Source organism: Homo sapiens, chromosome 7 (assembly GCF_000001405.40).
Source record: "Homo sapiens chromosome 7, GRCh38.p14 Primary Assembly".
Taxonomy (NCBI): Eukaryota; Metazoa; Chordata; class Mammalia; order Primates; family Hominidae; genus Homo; species Homo sapiens.
Genome location: NC_000007.14, coordinates 75258345 through 75280561, shown reverse-complemented (window position 1 = coordinate 75280561; position 22217 = coordinate 75258345). Strand labels below are relative to the sequence as shown.

The following is a 22217-nucleotide window of genomic DNA, read 5'->3' as shown; positions in this document are numbered from 1 at the left end:
TGAGTCCAAGAGATACTTTGAGGACTGGAAATCATAGGAAACTGCCCATGAGTTCACACATATTTCCAATGGTGTCCCCAATTTCAGGGAGTCCACGGATCACCTAAAGCCAGCCCCTCCAGTTTGGCTAAGAAACTCTATATATCAAGTTTTGTATCATATGTATTGCTCTTAACTCAGAAAATTCCACCATTTATAGCAGTGGTTTATTTATTTATACCATTGAAGGAAATGGTTTATTTATGAATCTATATTACGGATATTCTATAAGATACTGGGTGTACAAAAAGACTAAGTCGAAAAATCTCAGCTGTGCACAGTGGCTCATGCTTGTAATCCCATCTCTTTGGGTGGCCAAGGGAGGAAGACTGCCTGAGGCCAGCAGTTCAAGACCAGTATAGGCAACATAGCAAGAGCCCATCTCTAAAACAAAACAAAACAAAACAAAACAAAATTAGCCAGGTGTCGTGGCTGGCACCTGTGTTCCAACAACTTGAGAGACTGAGGTGGCAGGAGGATTGCTTGAGCCTAGGAGTTAGGGGCTGCAGTGAGCTGTGATCGTGACACCGCACTCCAGTCTGGGCAACACAGCAAGACCTTGTGTCAAAAAAAATTTTTTAATTAAATATAAAAGAGTTTCATGACATTCAGAGACCATCCAAAGAACCTGTGGGTTCCGGCCAGGCACAGTGGCTCACGCCTGTAATCCCAGCGCTTTGGGAGGCCATAGCAGGTGGATCGCTTGAGGTCAGGAGTTTAAGAGCAGCCTGGCCAACATGGTGAAACCCCATCTCTAGTAAAAATACAAAAAATTAGACGGGGCCAGGTGCCATGGCTCATGCCTGTAATCCCAGCACTTTGGGAGGCCAAGGAGGGTGGATCACGAGATCAGGAGATCGAGACCATCCTGGCTAACACCCCATCTCTGCTAAAAATACAAAAAGTAGCCAGGCATGGTTGCGGGCACCTGTATTCCCAGCTACTCAGGAGGCTGAGGCAGGAGAATGGCGTGAATCCAGGAGGCGGCACTTGCAGTGAGCCAAGATCATACCATTTGCACTGTAGCCTGGGCTACAAGAGTGAGACTCCGTCTCAAAAAAAAAAAAAAATAGCTGGGTGTGGTGGCACGCACCTGTAGTCTCAGCTACTCGGGAGGCTGAGGTGAGAGAATCGCTTGAATCCAGGAGGCGGAGGTTGCAGTGAGCCGAGATCGCGCCATCGCACTCCAGCCTGGGTGACAGAGTGAGACTCTGTCTCAAAAGAAAGAAAAAGAAAAAAAAAGAATATGCCGCAGTGCATTTGTTCATTTCTCCTGCTGGTGGACACTTGGGTCCTTCCAGCACCACTGTGAACATTGTGATGAACGTTCCTGCACACACACCTCTCTAGAACAGTCACCAGGAGCGGAGCTGCTGGGTCATGGGGTGTGGCTGAGTCCATTGCTGGTGCTGGGGTTTCCTTGGTGTTTGTACACCTTGCATTCCCACCAGCACATATGAGAGAATACTTTGTTTCAAATCTCTGCCAACACTGAGTATTCATGACACTGATCTTTTTGCAAGTGTAAATCAGATCATGTCACTCTCCCGATTTAAGCCCTATTTTTTTTTTTTTTTTTTGGAAACAGAGTCTCACTCTGTCACCCAGGCTAGAGTACAGTGGCATGATCTCGGCTCACTGCAACCTCCGCCTCCCGGGTTCGAGCGATTCTCTGATCTCAGCCTCCCAAGTATCTGGGACTATTGGCGCACGCCACCACGGGTGTCTAATTTTTTGTATTTTTGGTAGAGACGATGTTTCACCCTGTCGTCCAGGATGGTCTTGAACTCCCAAGCTCAAACAGTCTGCCCACCTCGGCCTCCCAAAGTGCTGGGGTTACAGGTTGGAGCCACCCAGCCCAGCCTAGATTTTTAGCTTGATGAAAATCCTGGTTTGGGAACAGAGTCAGCTCCACAGCGGGTCATCTGATTTTTTTTTTTTTTTTTTTTTTTGAGACGGAGTCTCGCTCTGTCATCCAGGCTGGAGTGCACTGGGCTCACTGCAACCTCCGCCTCCCAGGTTCAAGCGATTCCCCCACCTCAGCCTCCCGAGTAGCTGGGATTACAGGCACCCACCACCACGTATGACTAATTTCTGTATTTTTGTAGAGATGGGGTTTCACCATGTTGACCAAGCTGGTCTTGAACTCCTGACCTCAGATGAACCACCCGCCTCAGCCTCCTAAAGTGCTGGGATTACAGGTGTGAGCCACCACACCTGGACTGTTCTTTTCTCTTACGTTTGGTCACCTGGTACCTCTGAACTCCCTCTTCCACTCTCTCTACATCCTGATGCACAATTTATTTGAAAAGGAGGAAACATTTTCCGTCCCAAGTCCCTTTTTACTCCTTTCTTTCCCAACAAAACCTGTACAGAATCCTCACGCTACTGTGTTCTATAGAGGAGCGGAGAGGGAGACCAGTTCTCCACTCCCCTGGCCCTGCTGACACCTGGAGGGTGCCAGGCATGTTCATGGAAACAGCAGCATTGCAGCCTTCCTTCCTTCCCCACAGCTGTATCCGTGTGAGTCTGGACAACAAGGACTTGTCAACACGAATCTCTCTCTTCTCCTGGTGTAAGACAGAACAAAAACAAAAGACGTTGGAGTAGAGATCAGAAAAGGGTGGGTTTGCGATGTTTGGGAGGGTTGAGTGGGCATTTTGACAACTTAGCTTCTCCTTGGGTGGTATTTAGCAGATGCCCTTGTGGTTTAAACTGTAGCTTTAGATATAAAATCCACTCCTGGTCAGGTGCGGTGGCTGACGCCTGTAATCCCAGCACTCTGGGAGGCTGAGGTAGGCAGATCACGAGATCAAGATCAGCAGATCGAGACCATCCTGGCTAACACGGTGAAACCCCATCTCTACTAAAATAATAATTAAAAAAAATTAGCCAGGCATAGTGGTGGGCACCTGAAGTCCCCGCTACTGGGGAGGCTGAGGCAGAAGAATGGCATGAACCCAGGAGGCGGAGCTTGCAGTGAGCCAAGGTCATGCCACTGCACTTCAGCCTGGGCGACAGAGCGAGACTCTGTCTCAAAAAAAAAAAAAGAAAAAAGAAAGAAAATCCACTTCTAATGCTACCTGGGGCCCTGCTGCTTGATGGAGAAACTGAAGAACGTAAAGGATCTTGTTTGAGGGTTTGTGTTGTTGTGTTGTTGTTGTATATTTGTTTGTTTTGAGGCAGGGTTTTGCCCTTTCACCCAGGCTGGAGTGTGGTGGCACAATCACAGCTCACTGCAGCCTCGAACTCCTGGGCTCAGATGATCCTCCTGCCTCAGCCTCCCAAGTAGCTGGGATCATAGGTGTGCACTGCCATGCCTGGCTAAATTTTGTTATTTTTTTTAGGGACGAGTTTTGCCATGTTGCCCAGGCTAGTCTTAAACTCCTAGGCTCAATCTAGCCTCCCACCTCAGCCTCCCAAAGTGCTGGAATTATAGGCATGACCCACTACACACTACACCTAGTTTTTGTTATTTATTTATTTCTTAGAGACAGAGTCTCCTCTGTTGCTCAGCCAGGCTGGAGTTGAGTGGTGCCATCATAGCTCACTGCAGCCTTAAACTCCTGGGCTCAAATGATCCTCCAGTCTCAGCCTCCCAAGTAGCTGGAACCATAGGTGCACATCACCATGCCAGGCTAAATTTTAAAATTTTTTTGTAGAGATGGGGTCTCTGATACTGCCCAGGCTGGTTTCAAGCTTCTGGGCTCACATGATCCTCCTGCTTCAGCCTTCCAAGTAGCTGGGACCACAGGCATGTACCACCACGCCTGGCTTCTATATTTTTGTAGAGTTGGGGGATCTTGCTACGTTGCCCAGGCTGATCTCAAGCTCCTGGGCTCAAGCATTCCTCCCGCTTCAGCCTCCCAAAGTGCTGCAATTACAGGCATGAGCCACTGCACCCAGCCTCAGCCTAACAGATTTGTTTTTTTTTTTTTTTTTTTGAGACAGAGTCTCGCTGTGTTGCCCAGGCTGGAGTGCAGTGGTGCAATCTCGTCTCACTATAACCTCCACCTCCCAGGTTCAAGTGATTCTTGTGCCTCAGCCTCCCAAGTAGCTGAGAGTACAGGGCATGCCACCATTCTCGACTAATTTTTGGGTTTTTTTTTTTGTTGTTGTTGTTTTTTAAGATTGAGTCTTGCTCTGTCGCCCAGGCTGGAGTGCAGTGGCACGATCTCAGCTCACTGCAAGCTCCGCCTCCCGGGTTCATGCCATTCTCCTGCCTCAGCCTCCCGAGTAGCTGGGACTACAGGCGCCCGCCACCACGCCCGGCTAATTTTTTGTATTTTTAGTAGAGACGGGGTTTCACCATGTTAGCCAGGATGGTCTCAATCTCCTGACCTCTTGATCCACCCGCCTCGGCCTCCCAAAGTGCTGGGATTACAGGTGTGAGCCACTGCGCCCGGCCTAATTTTTGTATTTTTAATAGAGACAGGGTTTCACCATGTTGGCCAGGCTGGTCTTGAACTCCTGACCTCATGTGATCTGCCCCTGCTTAGCCTCCCAAAGTGCTGGGATTACAGGCATGAGCCACCATGCCTGGCCAGATCTTATTTGGAAATGGTATTCTGCATTGTAATTTTTGTTCTGTTTTATTTTTACATTTTCTTTTTATGACATATCTAGGATTTGCTTTAAAACATCCCAGCCAAGAAAAAGAGGGGAAGGGGAGGACAGTTTGGAGCACATTGGCAAAATCCTGATTGCTATTTAAGCTGGGCAGTGGGTCCATGGGGGTTCACTGTACTCTTCTGTCTACTTTTTTTTTTTTTTTTTTTTTTTTAATTTATTTTTTTATTGATAATTCTTGGGTGTTTCTCACAGAGGGGGATTTGGCAGGGTCATGGGACAATAGTGGAGGGAAGGTCAGCAGATAAACAAGTGAACAAAGGTCTCTGGTTTTCCTAGGCAGAGGACCCTGCGGCCTTCCGCAGTGTTTGTGTCCCTGGGTACTTGAGATTAGGGAGTGGTGATGACTCTTAACGAGCATGCTGCCTTCAAGCATCTGTTTAACAAAGCACATCTTGCACCGCCCTTAATCCATTTAACCCTGAGTGGACACAGCACATGTTTCAGGGAGCACAGGGTTGGGGGTAAGGTCACAGATCAACAGGATTCCCAAGGCAGAGGAATTTTTCTTAGTGCAGAACAAAATGAAAAGTCTCCCATGTCTACTTCTTTCTACACAGACACGGCAACCATCCGATTTCTCAATCTTTTCCCCACCTTTCCCGCCTTTCTATTCCACAAAGCCGCCATTGTCATCCTGGCCCGTTCTCAATGAGCTGTTGGGCACACCTCCCAGACGGGGTGGTGGCCAGGCAGAGGGGCTCCTCACTTCCCAGTAGGGGCGGCCGGGCAGAGGCGCCCCTCACCTCCCGGACGGGGCGGCTGGCCGGGCAGGGGGGCTGACCCCCCCACCTCCCTCCCGGAGGGGGCGGCTGGCCGGGCGGGGGGCTGACCCCCCCACCTCCCTCCCGGACGGGGCGGCTGGCTGGGCAGAGGGGCTCCTCACTTCCCAGTAGGGGCGGCCGGGCAGAGGCGCCCCTCACCTCCCGGACGGGGTCTTCTGTCTACTTTTGTAAATGTTTAAAAATGTTTGTTGTAAAAAGTTCCTTGGTTTTCCTTATGTTTCTCCAGAGAGGAAAAAAGATGTTCAGTTTTATATCTTAAAATGTACAAGCTACCTTGTTAGAATAAAACTAAATGTGTATGCTGCTGGGCACCAGGGCTCATGCCTGTAATACCAGCACTTTGGGAGGCCAAGACAGGTGGATCACCTGAGGTCAGGAGTTCGAGACCAACCTGGCCAGCATGGTGAAACCCCTGTCTGTACTGAAAATACAAAAATTAGTCGGGAGTGGTGGTGCACTCCTGTAATCCCAGCTGCTCAGGAGGCTGAGGCAGGAAGATCACTTTAACCCGGGAGGAGAAGGTTGCAGTGAGCTGAAATCGCACCACTGCACTCCAGCCTGGGCGACACAGCAAGACTCTCTGTCAAAAAAAAAAAAAAAAAAAAAAAAGCCAGGACTAGTTCATCAAGAAGCAAAATAATATGACAAACCCTACTTAAATGATTTCATCTGGTTTCAACCACTGCCAGCTGGTTTGATCCAGTTTCAGCTGGTTTCAAATGACTTCATCCAGTTTCAGCCAGGTTAATTCAGCTTCAGCTGGTTGTGAACAGTTTGTGGCTCCTTTCAACCAGTTTCAGGTGGTTTCAGCCAAAGTCATCCAATGTTGGCTGGCTCCAACTGGTTTAACTCCTGTTTCAACTGGATTCAGCTGATTTCCACTCTCCTTAAGGCTGTGCTGTCCAATTCAGTAGCTCCTAGCTACATGCAGCTCTTTACATTTAAATTGATTAAAATTAAAGGAAGGCCAAGTTCGCTGGCTCACCCTGTAATCCCAGCACTTTGGGAGGCCGAGGTGGGAGGATCACTTGAGGTCAGGAGTTCGAGACCAGCCTGGCCAACATGGTGAAACCTTGTCTCTACTAAAAATACAAAAAACATTAGCCAGGCATGGTGGTGGGTGCCCATAGTCCCAACTATTCAGGAGGCTGAGTCAGGAGAATCATTTGAACCTGGGAGGTGGAGGTTGCAGTGAGCCGAGATCACGCCACTGCACTGCAGCCTGGGCAACAGAGCAAGACTCTGTCTCAAACAAATAGATAAAATGAAATCAAAATTTCTTTTCTAGTGTTACAGGCAGAATGTTTGTGGACTCTCCAAAATTCATATGTCAAACTCCTAACTCCCAATGTGTTGGTATTTGGAGGCAAGAAGTTTGGGAGGTGATCACGTTGAGATGAGGTTATAAGGGTGGAATTCACTTGATGGGATTAGCAGCCTTTCGAGAAGAGTCATCAGAGAGCTTGCTTCCTCTCTCCCTGTCTTGGTCCATTCTGGCACTGCTATAAAGAAAAACCTGAGACTGGGTAATTTATAAAGAAAAGAGGGGTGTTTTGTTTTGTTTTGTTTTTGGAGATGGAGTTTCGCTGTCATCACCCAGGCAAGAGTGCAATGGCACGATCTTGGCTCACTGCCACCTCCATCTCCTGGGTTCAAGCCATTCTCCTGCCTCAGCCTCCTGAGTAGCTGGATTACAGGCGTCTGCCACCACGCCCAGCAAATTTTTGTATTTTTAGTGGAGACGGGGTTTCACCATGTTGCCCAGGCTGGTCTCGAACTCATGACCTCAGGTTATCCACCCACCTTGGCCTCCCAAAGTGCTGGGATTACAGGTGCGAGCCACCACACCCAGCCAAGAAAAGAGTTTTAATTGGCTTACATTCCATGGGCTGTACAGGACGCATGATTCTGACATCTGCTCAGCTTCTGGGGAGGTCTTAGGAAACTTACAATCATGGCAGAAGGTGAAGGGGAAGCACGCACATCTCACATGGTCAGAGCAAGAGGATGAGAGAGAGGTGGGGAGGTGCTACTCACTTTTAAACAAGCAGAGCTCATGATAACCTTCTACCATGAAAACAGCACGGAGGGGATGGTGCCAGCCCATTCATGAGAAATCCGCCCCGTGATTTAATCACCTCCTACCAGGCCCCACCTCCAACACTGGGGATTACAATTTGACATGAAACCTCTTTTTTTTTCTTTTTTTGTTTTTTTTTTTTTGAGACACAGTTTCACTCTGTCGCCCAGGCTGGAGTGCAGTGGTGCCATCTGGGCTCACTGCAACTTCTGCCTCCCAGGTTCAAATGATTCTCCTGCTTCAGCCTCCCGAGTAACTGGGATTACAGGCGCCCACCACCACACCCAGCTAATTTTGTATTTTTAGTGGAGACAGGGTTTCACCATGTGGTCCAGGCTAATCTTGAACTCCTGGCCTCAGGTGATCCGCCCGCCTTGGCCTCTCAAAGTGCTGGGATTACAGGTGTGAGCCACTGTGCCTGGTCTCGGCATGAGATTTAAGCAGGGGACACAGAGCCAAACTATATCACTCCCCATCATGTGAGGATACAGGGAGAAGACAGCCATCCACAAACCAGGAAGTGGGCCCTCACCAGACACCAATCTGCTGGTTCCTCAATCTTGGAATTGTGAGAGAGAAATGTATGTTGTTTAAGCCACCCAGCCTATGGTTTTCTGTAACGGAAGCCCAAGTAGACTAAGATACTCAGTCACGCTGCTCACAATTCCAGTGCCTACAAGGGCCAGGACCACATGTGTTCAAGTGGCCAGCATATTGGATGGTGCATTCATAGAACATTTCCATCACCACAGATGGTCCTTCTGGGCAGCTCTGCTCTCGGGAGGAGTTCAGATGTAGAGATCATGGCAGCAAAAGTCTCTCAGAGTCAGGTGAGAGGCAAAAAGGTAAGTCTGTTATTGGCTGGGTGCGGTGGTTCACACCTATAATCCCAGCACTCTGGGAGGCCGAGGCGGGCAGATCACAAGGTCAGGAGATCGAGACCATCCTGGCTAACATGGTGAAACCCTGTCTCTACTAAAAATACAAAAAATTAGCTGGACGTGGTGGCAGGCACCTGTAGTCCCAGCTATTCAGGAGGCTGAGGCAGGAGAATGGCGTGAACCCAGGAGGCGGAGCTTGCAGTGAGCCAAGATCGTGTCTCTGCACTCCAGCCTGGGCAACAGAGGGAGATTCTGTCTCAAAAAAAAAAAAAAAAAAAAAAAAAAAAGGAAGTCTGTTATTAACACCAGGAATGATCATTGTCACTTTTTTTTGAGACAGAGTTTCACTGTTGTTGCCCAGGCTGGAGTGCAATGGCCCACTGCAACCTCCACCTCCTGGGTTCAAGTTGTTCTCCTGCCTCAGCTTCCTGTGTAGCTACAGGTGCCCACAACCACACCCAGCTAATTTTTGTATTTTTAGTAGAGACGGGGTTTCACCATGTTGGCCAGGCTGGTCTCGAACTCCTGACCTCAGGTGATCCACCCGCCTCAGCCTCCCAAAGTGCTGGGATTACAGGCGTGAGTCACGGTGTCCAGCCCATTGTCACTTTTTACTGAGCACCTGCTATCTACCAGGGAGTGTCAAATGTGTAAAAATGCTATCAGTATGCCTTCCAACAACTCTATAGGGTGGGCATTATCACCCATATTAACAGAGAAGGAAAATGAGGGTTTTTTCCTTTTTTGTTTGGTTGGTTGGTTTTGGTTTTGGTTACTGAGACAGGGTCATACTCTGTCTCCCAGGCTGGAGTACAGTGGCAAGCCTCATAGCTCACTGCAGCCTCAACCTCCCAGGCTCAAGTAATCCCCCAAAGTAGCTGGGACTACAGGCATGCACCACCATGCCTGGCTTTTTTTTTTTTTTTTTTTTTTTAGAGGTGGAGTCTCACTATGTTGCCCAGGCTGGTCTCAAACTCCTGTTCTCAAGCGATCCTCCTGCCTCAGCCTCCCAAAGTGCTGAGGTTACAGGCGTGAGCCACTGCACCTGGCTAGGAAACTGAGTTTTTTCAGTGGTAGAGGCTCCTAGCCAGTGGCCAAGGGAAAGAGAGAGTTCTGGGTTCAGGGGCTGGCAGGAAGTTAGCAAGACACCAGGGACTCAGCTACACTGGCTGGATCTCAGAGAAGAGCAACTGCCACAGTGGGGACCTGGAGCACAAGGGGAAACTGGGGCAGCAGCTGCACCACAGGGTTGGCGGTACCTGATAAGGGAAGAGGATGACTTCCATAAGTAGGCCCACAGGTGCCCAGGGCTCCCCATACCCACTGGGTGCCAGGTCTAAAACCATGAGACCAGTACCAGCACCAACCACTCAAGGAGCTGAGACGGCTGACCCACTCTCTGCCCTGGCTAGGACTGGCCCCAGCACCCCCAGTGGGGAGGCCTCAATGATCCCAGCTGCCAGGGGCCCAGGAACACTAGCAACAGAAGAATGGCCAAAGTGACAGGGAACCCTTGAGACCCTAGAGCAGCAATGCCTGGGCCGGGCCTGATCCTTCCCACCAGCCCCCAGCCATTCCTGGCCTTCTGCCATGCTTCCTGGTTGGTCTGCAAAGTGCCTGGGGCAAATACCTTCTGGGAGAAGAGTAGAGAGGGTATCCAGGCTCCATGGGCCTCAGGATTCCTGAAGTAGGAGGCTCTGATGGGGCCACCCTGCTCTGGACAGAAATTCCCTAGCCTCAGGGACATGTTGAATCTTGTCACCCAGAGGAACCAAGTGGCTGGGTGGTAGCCCAGTGCAGTGGCTCATGCCTGTAACCTCAACACTTTGGGAGGCCAAGACAGGCAGATCACGAGGTCAAGAGATTGAGACCATCCTGGCTAATATGGTGAAACCCCGTCTCTACTAAAAATACAAAAATTAGCTGGGTGCGGTGGTGGCAGGCACCTGTAATCCCAGCTACTCGGGAGGCTGAGGCAGGAGAATCGCTTGAACCTGGGAGGCACAGGTTGCAGTGAGCTGAGATAGCGCCACTGCACTCCAGCCCGGGCAACAGAGTGAGACTCCATCTGAAAAAAAAGAAAAAGAAAAAAAAAAGAAAGAGGCTGGACAGCAAAATAAAATGGTTCCCCAGTTCAGCCTTTGGAGGTACCAACCGTCTGTTAGCAGAGCTCTAAGACCAAATGGGCTCCCACTCCAGGAACGTCCCCCTTCCCACAGGGGCTGGGGAGATGGAGTCCGGGGCTGTGCTGCCCTCTGGAGCAGCAGGTGGAGGCCAAGGCAGCCTCACTGTTCTCCGGGGCCCTGGGAAGCCATGCAGAGAGGCAGAGGTCCTTTATGTGCCAGATGAGGCTGCTGTCAAGGGACTGCAAATCTGCTTGAGGTGTGACATATCTGTTTTTAGAACAAGAACATCACATCAGGAGGAGCCGGTGGCCAGAGCTTGGGGGAAGGGGGTATCCAGGTCCAATTCCCATGTATCTAGGGCACATGTGCACAGCACTGAGGGCCACTCCAGCCCCTCCCCAGCTCTCAGAGGACCCTGCTCCCACCTGCCTTTTGCTCTGCTATCGGGCAGATGGCATTGTCTCTGCTTTGCAACTGATGAAATAGGAACTCTGGCTTCTGGGCTAGGCTGAGAGGGTGCTTGCTGCTGCCATTCCGGGCCCAGGTGAGACATTCGGTCATGAGCATCTGTAGCTCTTGCCTGAGCCTCTGAGCCTGCCAGGGCAGAGCAGAAGCAAATGCATGAAGGCCCCTCCCCCAGGGGCTGCTCTTAGCCAGTGACTGATGAAAATGGGTGTGTAAACAGCTTAGCCACATGACCCCACACAGGTGGGACAACCATGGGTTTCCACATTCTGTACTGCCTCCCAGAGGTCCCCACCAGGTTTAAGCTCAATTGCCCACACTGGTAACTGGTAACTTCCTTGATACCACTCATTTCTTTTTTCATTCTTTTGGTGTTTTTTTAGATGGAGTTTTGCTCTTGTCGCCCAAGCTGGAGTGCAGTGGTGCGATCTCAGCTCACTGCAACCTCCGCCTCCCAGATTCAAGCAATTCTCCTGCCTCACCCTCCTGGGATTACAGGCATGTGCCACCACACCTGGCTAATTTTATGTTTTTAGTAGAGAGGGAGTTTCCCCATGTTGGCCAGGCTGGTTTTGAACTCCTGACCTCAAGTGATCTGCCCACCTCAGCTTCCCAAAGTGCTGGGATTACAGGCATAAGCCACTGCGCCTGGCCATTTCCTTTCTCTCTCTCTCTCTCTCTCTCTCTCTCTCTCTCTCTCTCTCTCTCTCTGGCTGGAGTGCAATGGTGCGATCTGGGCTTACTACAACCTCTGCCTCAAGAGTCCCTCTGCTGGGACTACAGGTGCACACCACCACGTCCAGCTAATTTTTGTGGGGTTTTTTTGTTTTTTTGTTTTTTTGTAGAGATAGGGTTTCGCCGTGTTGCCCAGGCTGGTCTCAAGCAGTCCTCCTAGGTTCAAGCAATCTTCCGGCCTCAGCCTCCCAAAGTTCTGGGCTTACAGACCTGAGCCATTGTGCCTAACACCCCTTTCTTGGCAGCCTTCCTGTCCATATCTGGCCTCTCTACTCCCCTACCTGGGTTTCTGGGATGACTTGCACTTAAGTCCTTGGAGGGAACTTTAAGCAGAAGGATAGAGGAGAAAACTCAGAAATGGTGTGGGACCAGCAGCTTCCCCATTGTCTGGTCTGGAGTGGAGGTGGTCCAGGGATCCGGGGAGCCTGGCTCAAGCAGGATAGAAGTGACATCCAGGCTGGCCATCAGGGGGTGCAGTTCAGCAGCAGAGTCTCCAGGCCTGCTCACACTTGGACTGGTGCAGGATTCTCTTCTGGATAGCCTGTTTAGATTGCAGTAGGACCTGAAGACTTGAAATTGGTGTTCAGCCCTGGGAGAGGGGTCTGGCCAGGCTTGCACAGCTGGGTCCAGGCTCAGGACTGAGGTAGAAGCATAGTGTTCATCACAGCTGGAGCAAAAGTCCAGAAGAATGGACTTAACACTCCCAGTGGGTCAGAGGAGAGGCTAGCACGGGGTACAGACAAGATTCTGCAGACAGAGGCCAGAAGATTTTGTAGGCTACAAGATTCCGTAGACAGAGGCTCATGCCTATAATCCCAGCACTTTAGGAGGCCAAGGCAGGTGGATCACTTGAGGCCAGGAGTTCAAGACCAGCCTGGCCAACATGGTGAAACCCTGTCTCTACTAAAAATACAAAAATTAACCAGATGTGGTGGCGCATGCCTGTAATCCCAGCTACTCAGGAGGCTGAATCAGGAGGATCGCTTGAACCCAGGAGGCGGAGGTTGCAGTGAGCCGAGATCACACCACTGCACTGCAGCCTGGGTAACAGAGCAAGACTCTGTCTAAATAAATAAATAAATAAATAAATAAAATCATGCAGACCTCATCCCCAGGAGGCAGTCTGAAATGGCTCAGGAAAAAAAAAACAGCAGGTGAAATTTGTGCAGGGGGATCTCACCTGAACAAGGATCAGAAAGACAAGGGGTTGTCCCCAAACCTACCCACCCTCCTAGTGGCAGCTGGACCCTGGACCCCCTCACCACCACCAGCCTACCCCATGCTATCCATCACCGGCCAGCTCATGTCCTAAACATCTCTGCATCCCTCCTCTCTCTCCATCCACGCTGCTGCCTCACTGGTCCTGGCCACCACGGCTCTCTCAGCTAGGCTGCAGTCACTTCCAGGCTGGATTCCCCACCCCTGCCCTTGACCTCCTGTCCTCTACTCCACAAGGCAGCCAGAAGAATCTGCCAATGTATCCAGTCTTCTCTTGGGCTAGAGCCTTCTGGTGGCTTCCAATCTGCACCCATCCAAGCCCTTTGTGTCAGGCACCATCTCATCTTCATAAATCCTGTTTCTATTGCCTGGAGGACTCCCCCAGCCCTAACTTCCCCTGTTCCTAAATGACATTTCACCACCCTTCAGATCTCAATGTCACTTTTGACAGAAACCTTAGCCAGGCATGGTAGCACACACCTGTGGTCCCAGCTACTCTGAAGACTGAGGAGAAATGATCTCTTGAAGTCAGGAGTTGGGGGTTGCAGTGAGCTAGGATTGCACCACTGCACTCCAACCTGGACAACAGAGCAAGACCCTGTCTCTAGGCCAGGTGCAGTGGCTCACACCTGTAATCCCAGCACTTTGGGAGGCTAAGGCAGACAGATCACCTGAGGTCAGAAGTTCGAGACCAGCCTGGCCAACATTGTGAAACTCCATCTTTACTAAAAATACAAAAATTAGCCGGGTGTGGTGGCATGCACCTGTAATCCCAGCTACTTGGGAGGCTGAGGCGGGAGAATTGCTTGAACCTGGGAGGCAGAGGTTGCAGTGAGCCAAGATTGCACCACTGCACTCCAGCATAGACAATGAAGCAAGAAAAAAAAGAAAAGACCTTGTCTCTAAAAAGAGAGAGAGAGAAACCCTGCATGGACCTCCATTCATATGGCCGTTCTGTTACTAGAAGGGTCCAGACCAACACAAGAGCACTAGGAGCCAAAGATGAAATTCACAAAAGAGCAATTATGAGAAATGGGAGAAAGATGGAGGGACTGCAACATAGGGCTAATGGAAGTTTTAGAAAAACAGCAGAAAATCACAGAGAAGCAATATATGATGGACAATCAATGAGAATTTTCAAAAACTAGGCTGGGCGTTTTGGCTCATGCCTATAAACCCAGCACTTTGGGAGGCTGAAGCAAGTGGATCAACTGAGGTCAGGAGTTCCAGACCAGCCTGGCCAATATGGTGAAACCTCGTCTCTACTAAAAATACAAAAATTAGCCTGGCGTGGTGGCGTGCACCTGTAGTCCCACCTACTCAGGAGGCTAAGGCAGGAGAATCACTTGAACCCGGGAGGCAGAGGTTACAGTGAGCCAATATTGTGCCACTGCACTCCAGACTGGATGACAGAGCAAGACTCCATCTCAAAAAAAAAAAAAAAAAAAAAAAAAGGAAAAGAAAGAAAAAAGAACTAAAGAGTCATACAAGTCCTCAAATCAAAAACATACTCTAAGAACAAACAGCATAAATTAATATGTCTATATAGGGTTCTATCATTATTAAACCACTTAAAATCAAGGATAAAGAGGAATTTTTTTTCTTTTTTTTTCTTTTTTTGAGATAGGGTCTCACTCTGTCACCCAGGCTGGAGTGCAGTGGTGCAATCATAGCTCACTGTAGCCTCAAACTCCTGGGCTCAAGCAATTCTCCCAAGTAACTGGGACTACAAGCCTGCAAGCAGGCACCACCATGCCTAGCTAATATTTGTATGTTTTTAGAGATGGGATCTTGCTATGTTGCCCAGGATGGAAATCTTTATTGTTGTTGGTGGTTTTTTTTTTTTTTTTTTTTTTTTTGGAGATGGAGTTTCACTCTTGTTGCCCAGGCTGGAGTGCAATGGCGCCATCTCAGCTCACTACAACCTCCACCTCCCGGGTTCAAGTAGTTCTCCTGCCTCAGCCTCCCGAGTAGTTGGGATTACAGGCATGCACCACCACGCCTGGCTTTTTTTTTTTTTTTTTTTTTTTTTTTTTTTGTATTTTTTTAGTAGAGACAGGGTTTCTCCATGTTGGTCAGGCTGGTCTCAAACTCCCGAAGTGAAGTGATCAGCCTGCCTCGGCCTCCTGGAGTGCTGGGACTACAGGCCTGAGCTACTGCGCCCAACCTCAGGATGGAAATCTTAAAAGTTACTAGGCCAGGTGTGGTGGCTCATGCCTATAATCCCAGCACTTTGGGAGGCCGATGTGGGCAGATCAGCAGAGGTCAGGAGTTTGAGATTATCCTGACCAACATCATGAAACCCTGCCTCTACTAAAAATGAAAAAAAAAAAAAAATTAGCCAGGCATGGTGGTGTGCGCTTGTAATCCCAGCTGCTTGGGAGGCTGAGGCAGGATAATCACTTGAACCTTGGAGGCCAAGGTTGCAGTGAGCCAAGATCACGCCACTGCTCACCAGCCTGGGCAACAATCTGTGAAGAAGGAAAAAAGAGAAGAGAAGGGAAGGGGAGGGGAGGGGAAGGGGGAGAGGAAGGGGAAGGGGAAGGGAATGGAAGGGAAGACAATTAAAAAAAAAAAAAAAACAGGCAAAGAATATGAACAGGCAATTCACAGAAGGAAAACCCAAATGACCCACAAACATGAATAGATGTTCAACCACAATGACAATCAGAGAAATTGTAAAAATAAAGCAGCAACAATATATCATTTTACATTTATCAGCTAAGCAAAAGCTAAAGTCTGATAATCCCAATTATTGATGGGTGTGTAGAAAAAGGAGATTCTGACACATGCTGGTAGAGTGTCAGTTGGTATAAGCCCTTGGAGAGCAAAACAGAGATATTCACCACCCTCTTATCCCAACCATTCCACATACTATTCTACGTAAATATCTTGCAGAGAGATTCCAGCACTAGTGCTATAGAATACATTTACAGGAATGTTTATTGCAACATTGTTTAAAACAAGAGAAAAAAACAGAAACAAAGTAAATGTTCACCAACAGGAGACTGGATAAACAAAGTATAATGTATAATGGAATATGTTGTAGCAGTTAAAATAAAGAAAAGCTACATATATCATTATAGTCTACGTAGTATCAACTTGGATAAACCTCAAAAGTCATTAGTAGTGAGCAAAAAAAGCAGGTTGCAGAAGGATACATACAATATGATACCAGTTATATACAATGTTTATGGTTCAACTTTTCCAGTCTGGTTTATTGAGCTACAATTTGCATACAGTGAAATTGACTAGTCTTTGTGTACAGTTTTGTGAGTCTGGCAGAATGCATACCTTTAGGTAGACATCATCACAATCAAGATATAAAAGGGTTCCATCATTCCCCAAAATTGCACACTGCCCTATTGTAGTCAAGTCTTACCCCCACCTCACATCTCCTGTAATCATGGAGCACATAGCATTTTGAGTCTGTCTTCTTCCACTTAGCATAATGCCTTTGAGATTCATTCATGTTGTTGAGTATCTCAACGGCTTTTTTTTTAACTGCTGAATAGTAGTCTACTGTATGGATGTACCAATTTATCCATTCTATAGTTGAAGTGCATTTGACTTGTTTGTACTTTGGGGCAATTATAAATAAACTGACCATAAATATTTGTGAACCGACTTTTGTTTGAATACAAATTTTCATTTCTCCTGGTTAAACACCTAAAAATGGGATTGCTGGGTCATGTGGTAAGTGTATGTTACATTTATTTATTTATTTATTTATTGAGACCAAGTCTCACTCTGTCGCCCAGGCTGGAGTGCAGTGGCACCTTCTCGGCTCACTATAGCTTCTGCCTCCCAGGTTCAAGTGATTCTTCTGCCTCAGCCTCCCAAGTAGGTGGGATTACAGACACCAGCCACCATGCCGGGCTAATTTTTGTATTTTTAGTAGAGATGGGGTTTCACCATGTTGGCCAGGCTGGTCTCAAACTCCTGACCTCAGGTGATCCACCTGCCTAAGCCACCCAAAGTGCTGGGATTACAGGCGTGGGCCACCATGCCCGGCTGTATGTTCACTTTAAATTTTTTTCTTCTTCTTTTTAATTTAAAATTATTTTTATTTATTTATTTTTTGCTGAGGCTAGAGTGCAGTGGCACAATCACAGTTTGCTGCAGCCTCAACCTCACAGGCTCAAGTGATCCTCCTACTTCAGCCTCCTGAGTAGCTGGGACCACAGGAACACACCACCATACCCAGCTATATATATTTTGTAGAGACAAGGTCTTACTGTGTTGCCCGGGCTGGTCTTGAACTTCTGGACTCACGCGATCCTCCTGCTTTGGCCTCCCAAAGTGCTGGGATTACAGCCATAAGCCACTGTGTTGGACTTTTTGGTCATTTTAAATTTAGTTATTTTCTTACTACTGACTTTTGAGGATTCTTTACATTCTCAATAAAAGTCCTTTATCATTTATGTGCCTTGCAAACATTTTTTCCCGGTTTGTGGTTTGTTTTTCCATTTTCATAAGAGTGTCTTTTGAAAATCAGATGTTTTTAATTTTTATGAAATCTAGTTTAGCATATGTTTTTGTTTATGCTTCATGGATATAGAAGCTATATCTAAGAAACTTTTTTCCTAATCTAAGCTCACAAAGATTTTCTGCTATGTTTCCTTCGGGAAGTATTTTAATTTTGAGGTTGGATTTAGGTCTATGATCCATTTTGAAATAACTTTTGTTAAGTTGTAAGGTAGAGGTGGTCAAGGTTCTCTCTTTTTTAAAAAAACATATGCACGACTAGTTATTCCAATATCATTTGTTGTTTGTTTGTTTGTTGTTGAGACAGAGTCTTCCTCCGTCAACCAGGCTGAATAGAGTGCAGTGGTACAATCACAGGTCACTGCAGCCTCAAACTCAAGCAATCCTCCCACCTCAGGCTCCCAAGTAGCTGGGACTACAGGCACATAGCACCACACACAGCTGCTGCTTCTTTTTTTTTAGTGACAGGGTCTTGCTATGTTGTCCAGGCTGGTCATGAACTCCTGGCCTCAAGCCATCCTCCTGCCTCAGCCTCCCAAAGTGTTGGGATTACAGGCGTGAGCAGCCATGCCCAGCTGCAACACCATTTGTTGACATGACTACCATTTATCCATTTGATTGTCTTTGCCATTTTGTAAAAACCAGCTGACCCTGAGGTGGGCAGATTGCTTGAGCCCAAGAGTTCAAGACCAGCCTGGGCAACATGTTGAAACCCTATCTCTATTATTAAAAAAAAAAAAAAAAATCAACTAACCATGTATGTGTTGGTTTATGGAGTTTCAAAACATGGTTAACAGGATAGAGCTTTTTGTGTTAGGGAGAAGGAAAGGGGAATTTAGATAGATAAAATTCTTTAATTTTTTCAAGATTTTGTTTGTTTTATTTATTTAGTTAGTTTAGTTTAGTTTTTGAGATGGAGTCTCACTCTGCTGCTCAGGGTGGAATGCAGTGGCACAATCTTGGCTCATTGCAACCTCCATCTCCTGAGTTCAGGCAGTTCTGCCTCAGCCTCCTGAGTAGCTGGGATTACAGGCATGTGCCACCACACCTGGATAATTTTTGTATTTTTAGTAGAGACAAGGTTTCACTACATTGGCCAGTCTGGTCTCAAACTCCTGACCTCAAGTGATCTGCCTGCCTCAGCCTTCCAAAGTGCTGGGATTACAGGCATAAGCCACTGCACCCAGCCTGTTTTGTTTCAATTGCAAATAAGAATTGCACATATTTATGGGGTACCTAGGGATGTTTTGATACATATGCACAGGTTGTATGTGCAACCTCACAGATGACGTTCCCCATGAAACGCTCTGAGATGGATTGAGCAAGCAGGATATTTATTAAGCAGTGCCCTTGAAGGCCAGGCACAGTGGTTTATGGCTGTAATCCCAGCACTTTGGGAAGCTGAGGATTGCTTGAGCCCAGGAATTGGAATTCAAGACCAGCCTGGGCAACATAGCAAGACCCCCACCTCCACAAAAAATAAAAAAGCTGGGCATGATGGTGCATACCTGTAGTCCTAGCTACTCAGGAGGATGAGGCAGGAGGATCACTTGAACCCAGGAGTTAAGAGGCTGCAGTGAGCCATGATTGCACCACCGCACCTCCAACCTGGGTGACAGAGCAAGACACTGTCTCTTTAAAAAAAAAAAAAAAAAAAAAAAAGGTGTTCTTGAGAGCAAGAGGCCAGAAGGAAGCAGGAGCAAGCAATGGAGAAATGGTGAGAAGGTAAGCTTCCACTGAGCCCAGGAGAACAGGAGCTGAAACAGCCATTCACACTTGTCCAGGCTTGGCCAAGGTGGTTGGACCTCCACCCTTCCACAGCCATGGGATATTGGGAGAAGGAGTTCCCTGTAGTTGAGACAGTTCCTGTGGACAGCATTCACAGAGGGGCCACAAACCCTTCATGGAAGGTGGTGTGAACCATGTGCCTCTGCACTCTGCCACAGTAGGGCTGTACTTTGTGCTTTCTTTTTATTTTTCTTTTTCCTTTTTGAGACAGAATCTCACTCGTCACCCAGGCTGGAGTGCAATGGTGCGATCTCGGCTCACTGCAACCTCCACCTCCCAGGTTCAAGTGATTCTCCTGCCTCAGCCTCCCCAGTAGCTGGGACTACAGGTGTGCACCACCACATCTAGCTAATTTTTGTATTTTTAGTAGAGACGAGGTTTCATCATGTTGGTCAGGCTGGTCTCAAACTCCTGACCTCAAGTGATCCCCCCACCTCAGCTTCCCAAAGTGCTGGGATTACAGTCACGAGCCACCACACCTAGCCTTACGCTTTGTGTTTTCATCTGCATCTGCCATGAATGAGGAAGAATGCCTTTTCATATTCTTGGAGGGAAGTTCTAGAGAGGGTGACCAAGTGGCTCCAGGCCTTCGTGAGACAAAAGGGAACCCCTCTGGAGCAGCCTCTAGAGTAGTGGAAGGCCAGGCAGACCTGGATCTAATTTTAATCTTTTGTGACCTAACTCTGCACTCCGAAGGGAGTGACTCAACTCCTCTGAGCCTCAGTTTCCCTCTCATAAAATGACAGAGATTGTGATTGTAGTGGAGGATAAAAAAGGAAGGGAAGGAGATGTCCTCACTTTAATCTAAACTCTGATCCTGTCCACAGAATTTAAGGACATTTAGTCAAATTCAGAGGCCCAGCAAAGTTGTTCCCATGGGTCAGTTTGCAAGAGGGACCCAAGAGCTAGGAAGAGGCTGGGCACAGTGGCTCACACCTGCAATCCCAGCACTTTGAGAGGCCAGGGTGGGTGGATTGCTTAAGATCAGGAATTCAAGATTAGCCTGGGCAACATAGCAAGACTCCATCTCTAAAGAAAATGAAAAAAACTAGCCAGGCATGGTGGTATGTGCCTGTAGTCCCAGCTACTCGGGAGGCTGAGGCAGCAGGGTCCCTTGAATCCAGGATTTTGAGGCTGCAGTGAACTATGATCACATCACTGCACTCTAGCCTGGGTGACAGGGCAAGACCCTGTCTCAAAAAAAAAAAAAAAAAAATAGATCTGAGGACCATTGACAACATGCTGGGTTCAGTGTGGCCTCCTGAGCCTGGTTCCAGCCTTCTATCTCCTTAGGCCTGGGGTGCGGATGACGCCTTACCCACTCACTCTGTTTGGGAGTTGAACAGTAAATTAAAGTGCTTCGTTATCTCATTTGAGAGTGGCGTAAAACACTGGAAAGGCTGGAGCATTCACAGCAATCAAGCTCTGAAAGGTTCTCAGTTGCTGGAAGGAATATCCTCTGATAGATTGCTCTTTTCTCTGAAACGTGGCTTACATCTCATGAGCAATTCCAGCAGTGTCCACTGCAGATGTTTTTGGCATCTTCACAAAGGAGTTAAAGAGATCAGACTCGTTCCCAAGAGAGAAAAATCATCTTTGCAATGTCCAAAAAGATTCCCTGGGCACAGCTCCCTCTGCTGTGACCTGCCAAGAAATTTTGGGGCTGCTTAGGACATGGGGTCATTCTCTAGCTCCAGTATACTCACCAGTGGTCAGTCACCACCTATGCATCGTGAGTCACTCCACAAACCTTAAATGAACATCATGTTGGGGAAGGCCATGCTTCGTCTCAGCCCTGCCCTCCCTGGGCTTACCATCCAAACTTGGCCCTGTGTAAATTCTACAGGATTCACCCCTGGTTTTCCTGTCCACTGACTCAAATGACCAACATCTCAACACCTTCCTGGGGGTCAGACATGCAGAGACTTGCATTTTCGTGATCATAAAATTGAGGTACAATGTATCCAAAATAAACCTTCAGAATCTCAGACTCCAGTCCTCTCCAGAATTAGTTTCCAGATTTTTAAACATTTAATTTTATTTTTAGAGAAGGGGTCTCACTATGTTGCCCAGGCTGTTCTTGAACTGCTGGGCTCAAGCAATCCTCCCATCTCAGCCTTCCAAAGTGCTGAGATTACAAGCATGAGCCACCATGCCTGGCCACTTAAAAATAATAATAATAATAATTTCTTGCTCTGTCACCCAGGCTGGAGTGCAGTGGTGCCATCATAGCTCACAGCAGCCTCAAACTTCCAGGCTCAGGTGATCCTCCCACTTCAGCCTCCCAAGCCACTGGGGGACGACAGGTGCTCACCACTGTGCCTGGCTACTTTTTTATTTTTTCATAGGGAGAAGGTCTTGCTAGGTTGCCCAGGCTGGTCTCAAACTCCTGGGCTGAAGTGAGCCTCCCACCTTGGCCTCCCAAAATGCTGGGGTTATAGGTATGAGCCACTGTGCCATCCCAGTTTCCAGAATATTAAAGAGCTTCTGTTGGGTTAGGCTTAGGAACAGGCAAAATAATAACAACAACAATTTTCCTCTGTTGGGCACTTCCCATTGGCCAGAACTGTACTCAGAACCAACACACATCACCCAGAATCCTTATAACAACCCCAATTTATAGATGGAAAAGTCGAAGCATGGAGGTATGAGTAGCAGGGGTGTGGAGGGCCTGCAACCTCTATCTTCCACCAGGTCAACCTTTTGGTTCTTAGAAACTGTGCAGGCAGGCACGTATGTTTATTGCGGCACTATTCACAATAGCAAAGACTTGGAACCAACCCAAATGTCCATCAATAATAGACTGGATTAAGAAATCCATTTATGGATTATGCAGCCATAAAAAAGGATGAGTTCATGTCCTTTGTAGGGACATGGATGAAGCTGGAAACCATCATTCTGAGCAAACTATCGCAAGGACAGAAAACCAAACACCGCATGTTCTCACTCATAGGTGGGAATTGAACAATGAAAACACTTGGAC

The 22217-nt window shown here is 47.9% G+C and overlaps 1 protein-coding gene across 2 annotated transcripts in view; it reads right to left on the bottom strand.

Moving 5' to 3' along the window:
- SPDYE14 (speedy/RINGO cell cycle regulator family member E14) overlaps positions 1 to 22217 on the bottom strand; it is an 80225-nt gene that overhangs the window by 36868 nt on the left and 21140 nt on the right. The window contains exon 2 of one of the 2 annotated variants that reach the window (NM_001382495.2): positions 2490 to 2609. The exons of the other annotated variant lie outside the window; for it this stretch is intronic. The gene's annotated coding sequence lies outside the window, so the exon portion shown is untranslated. The remainder of the gene's footprint in view (positions 1 to 2489; positions 2610 to 22217) is intronic. 2 annotated transcript variants of the gene reach the window in all.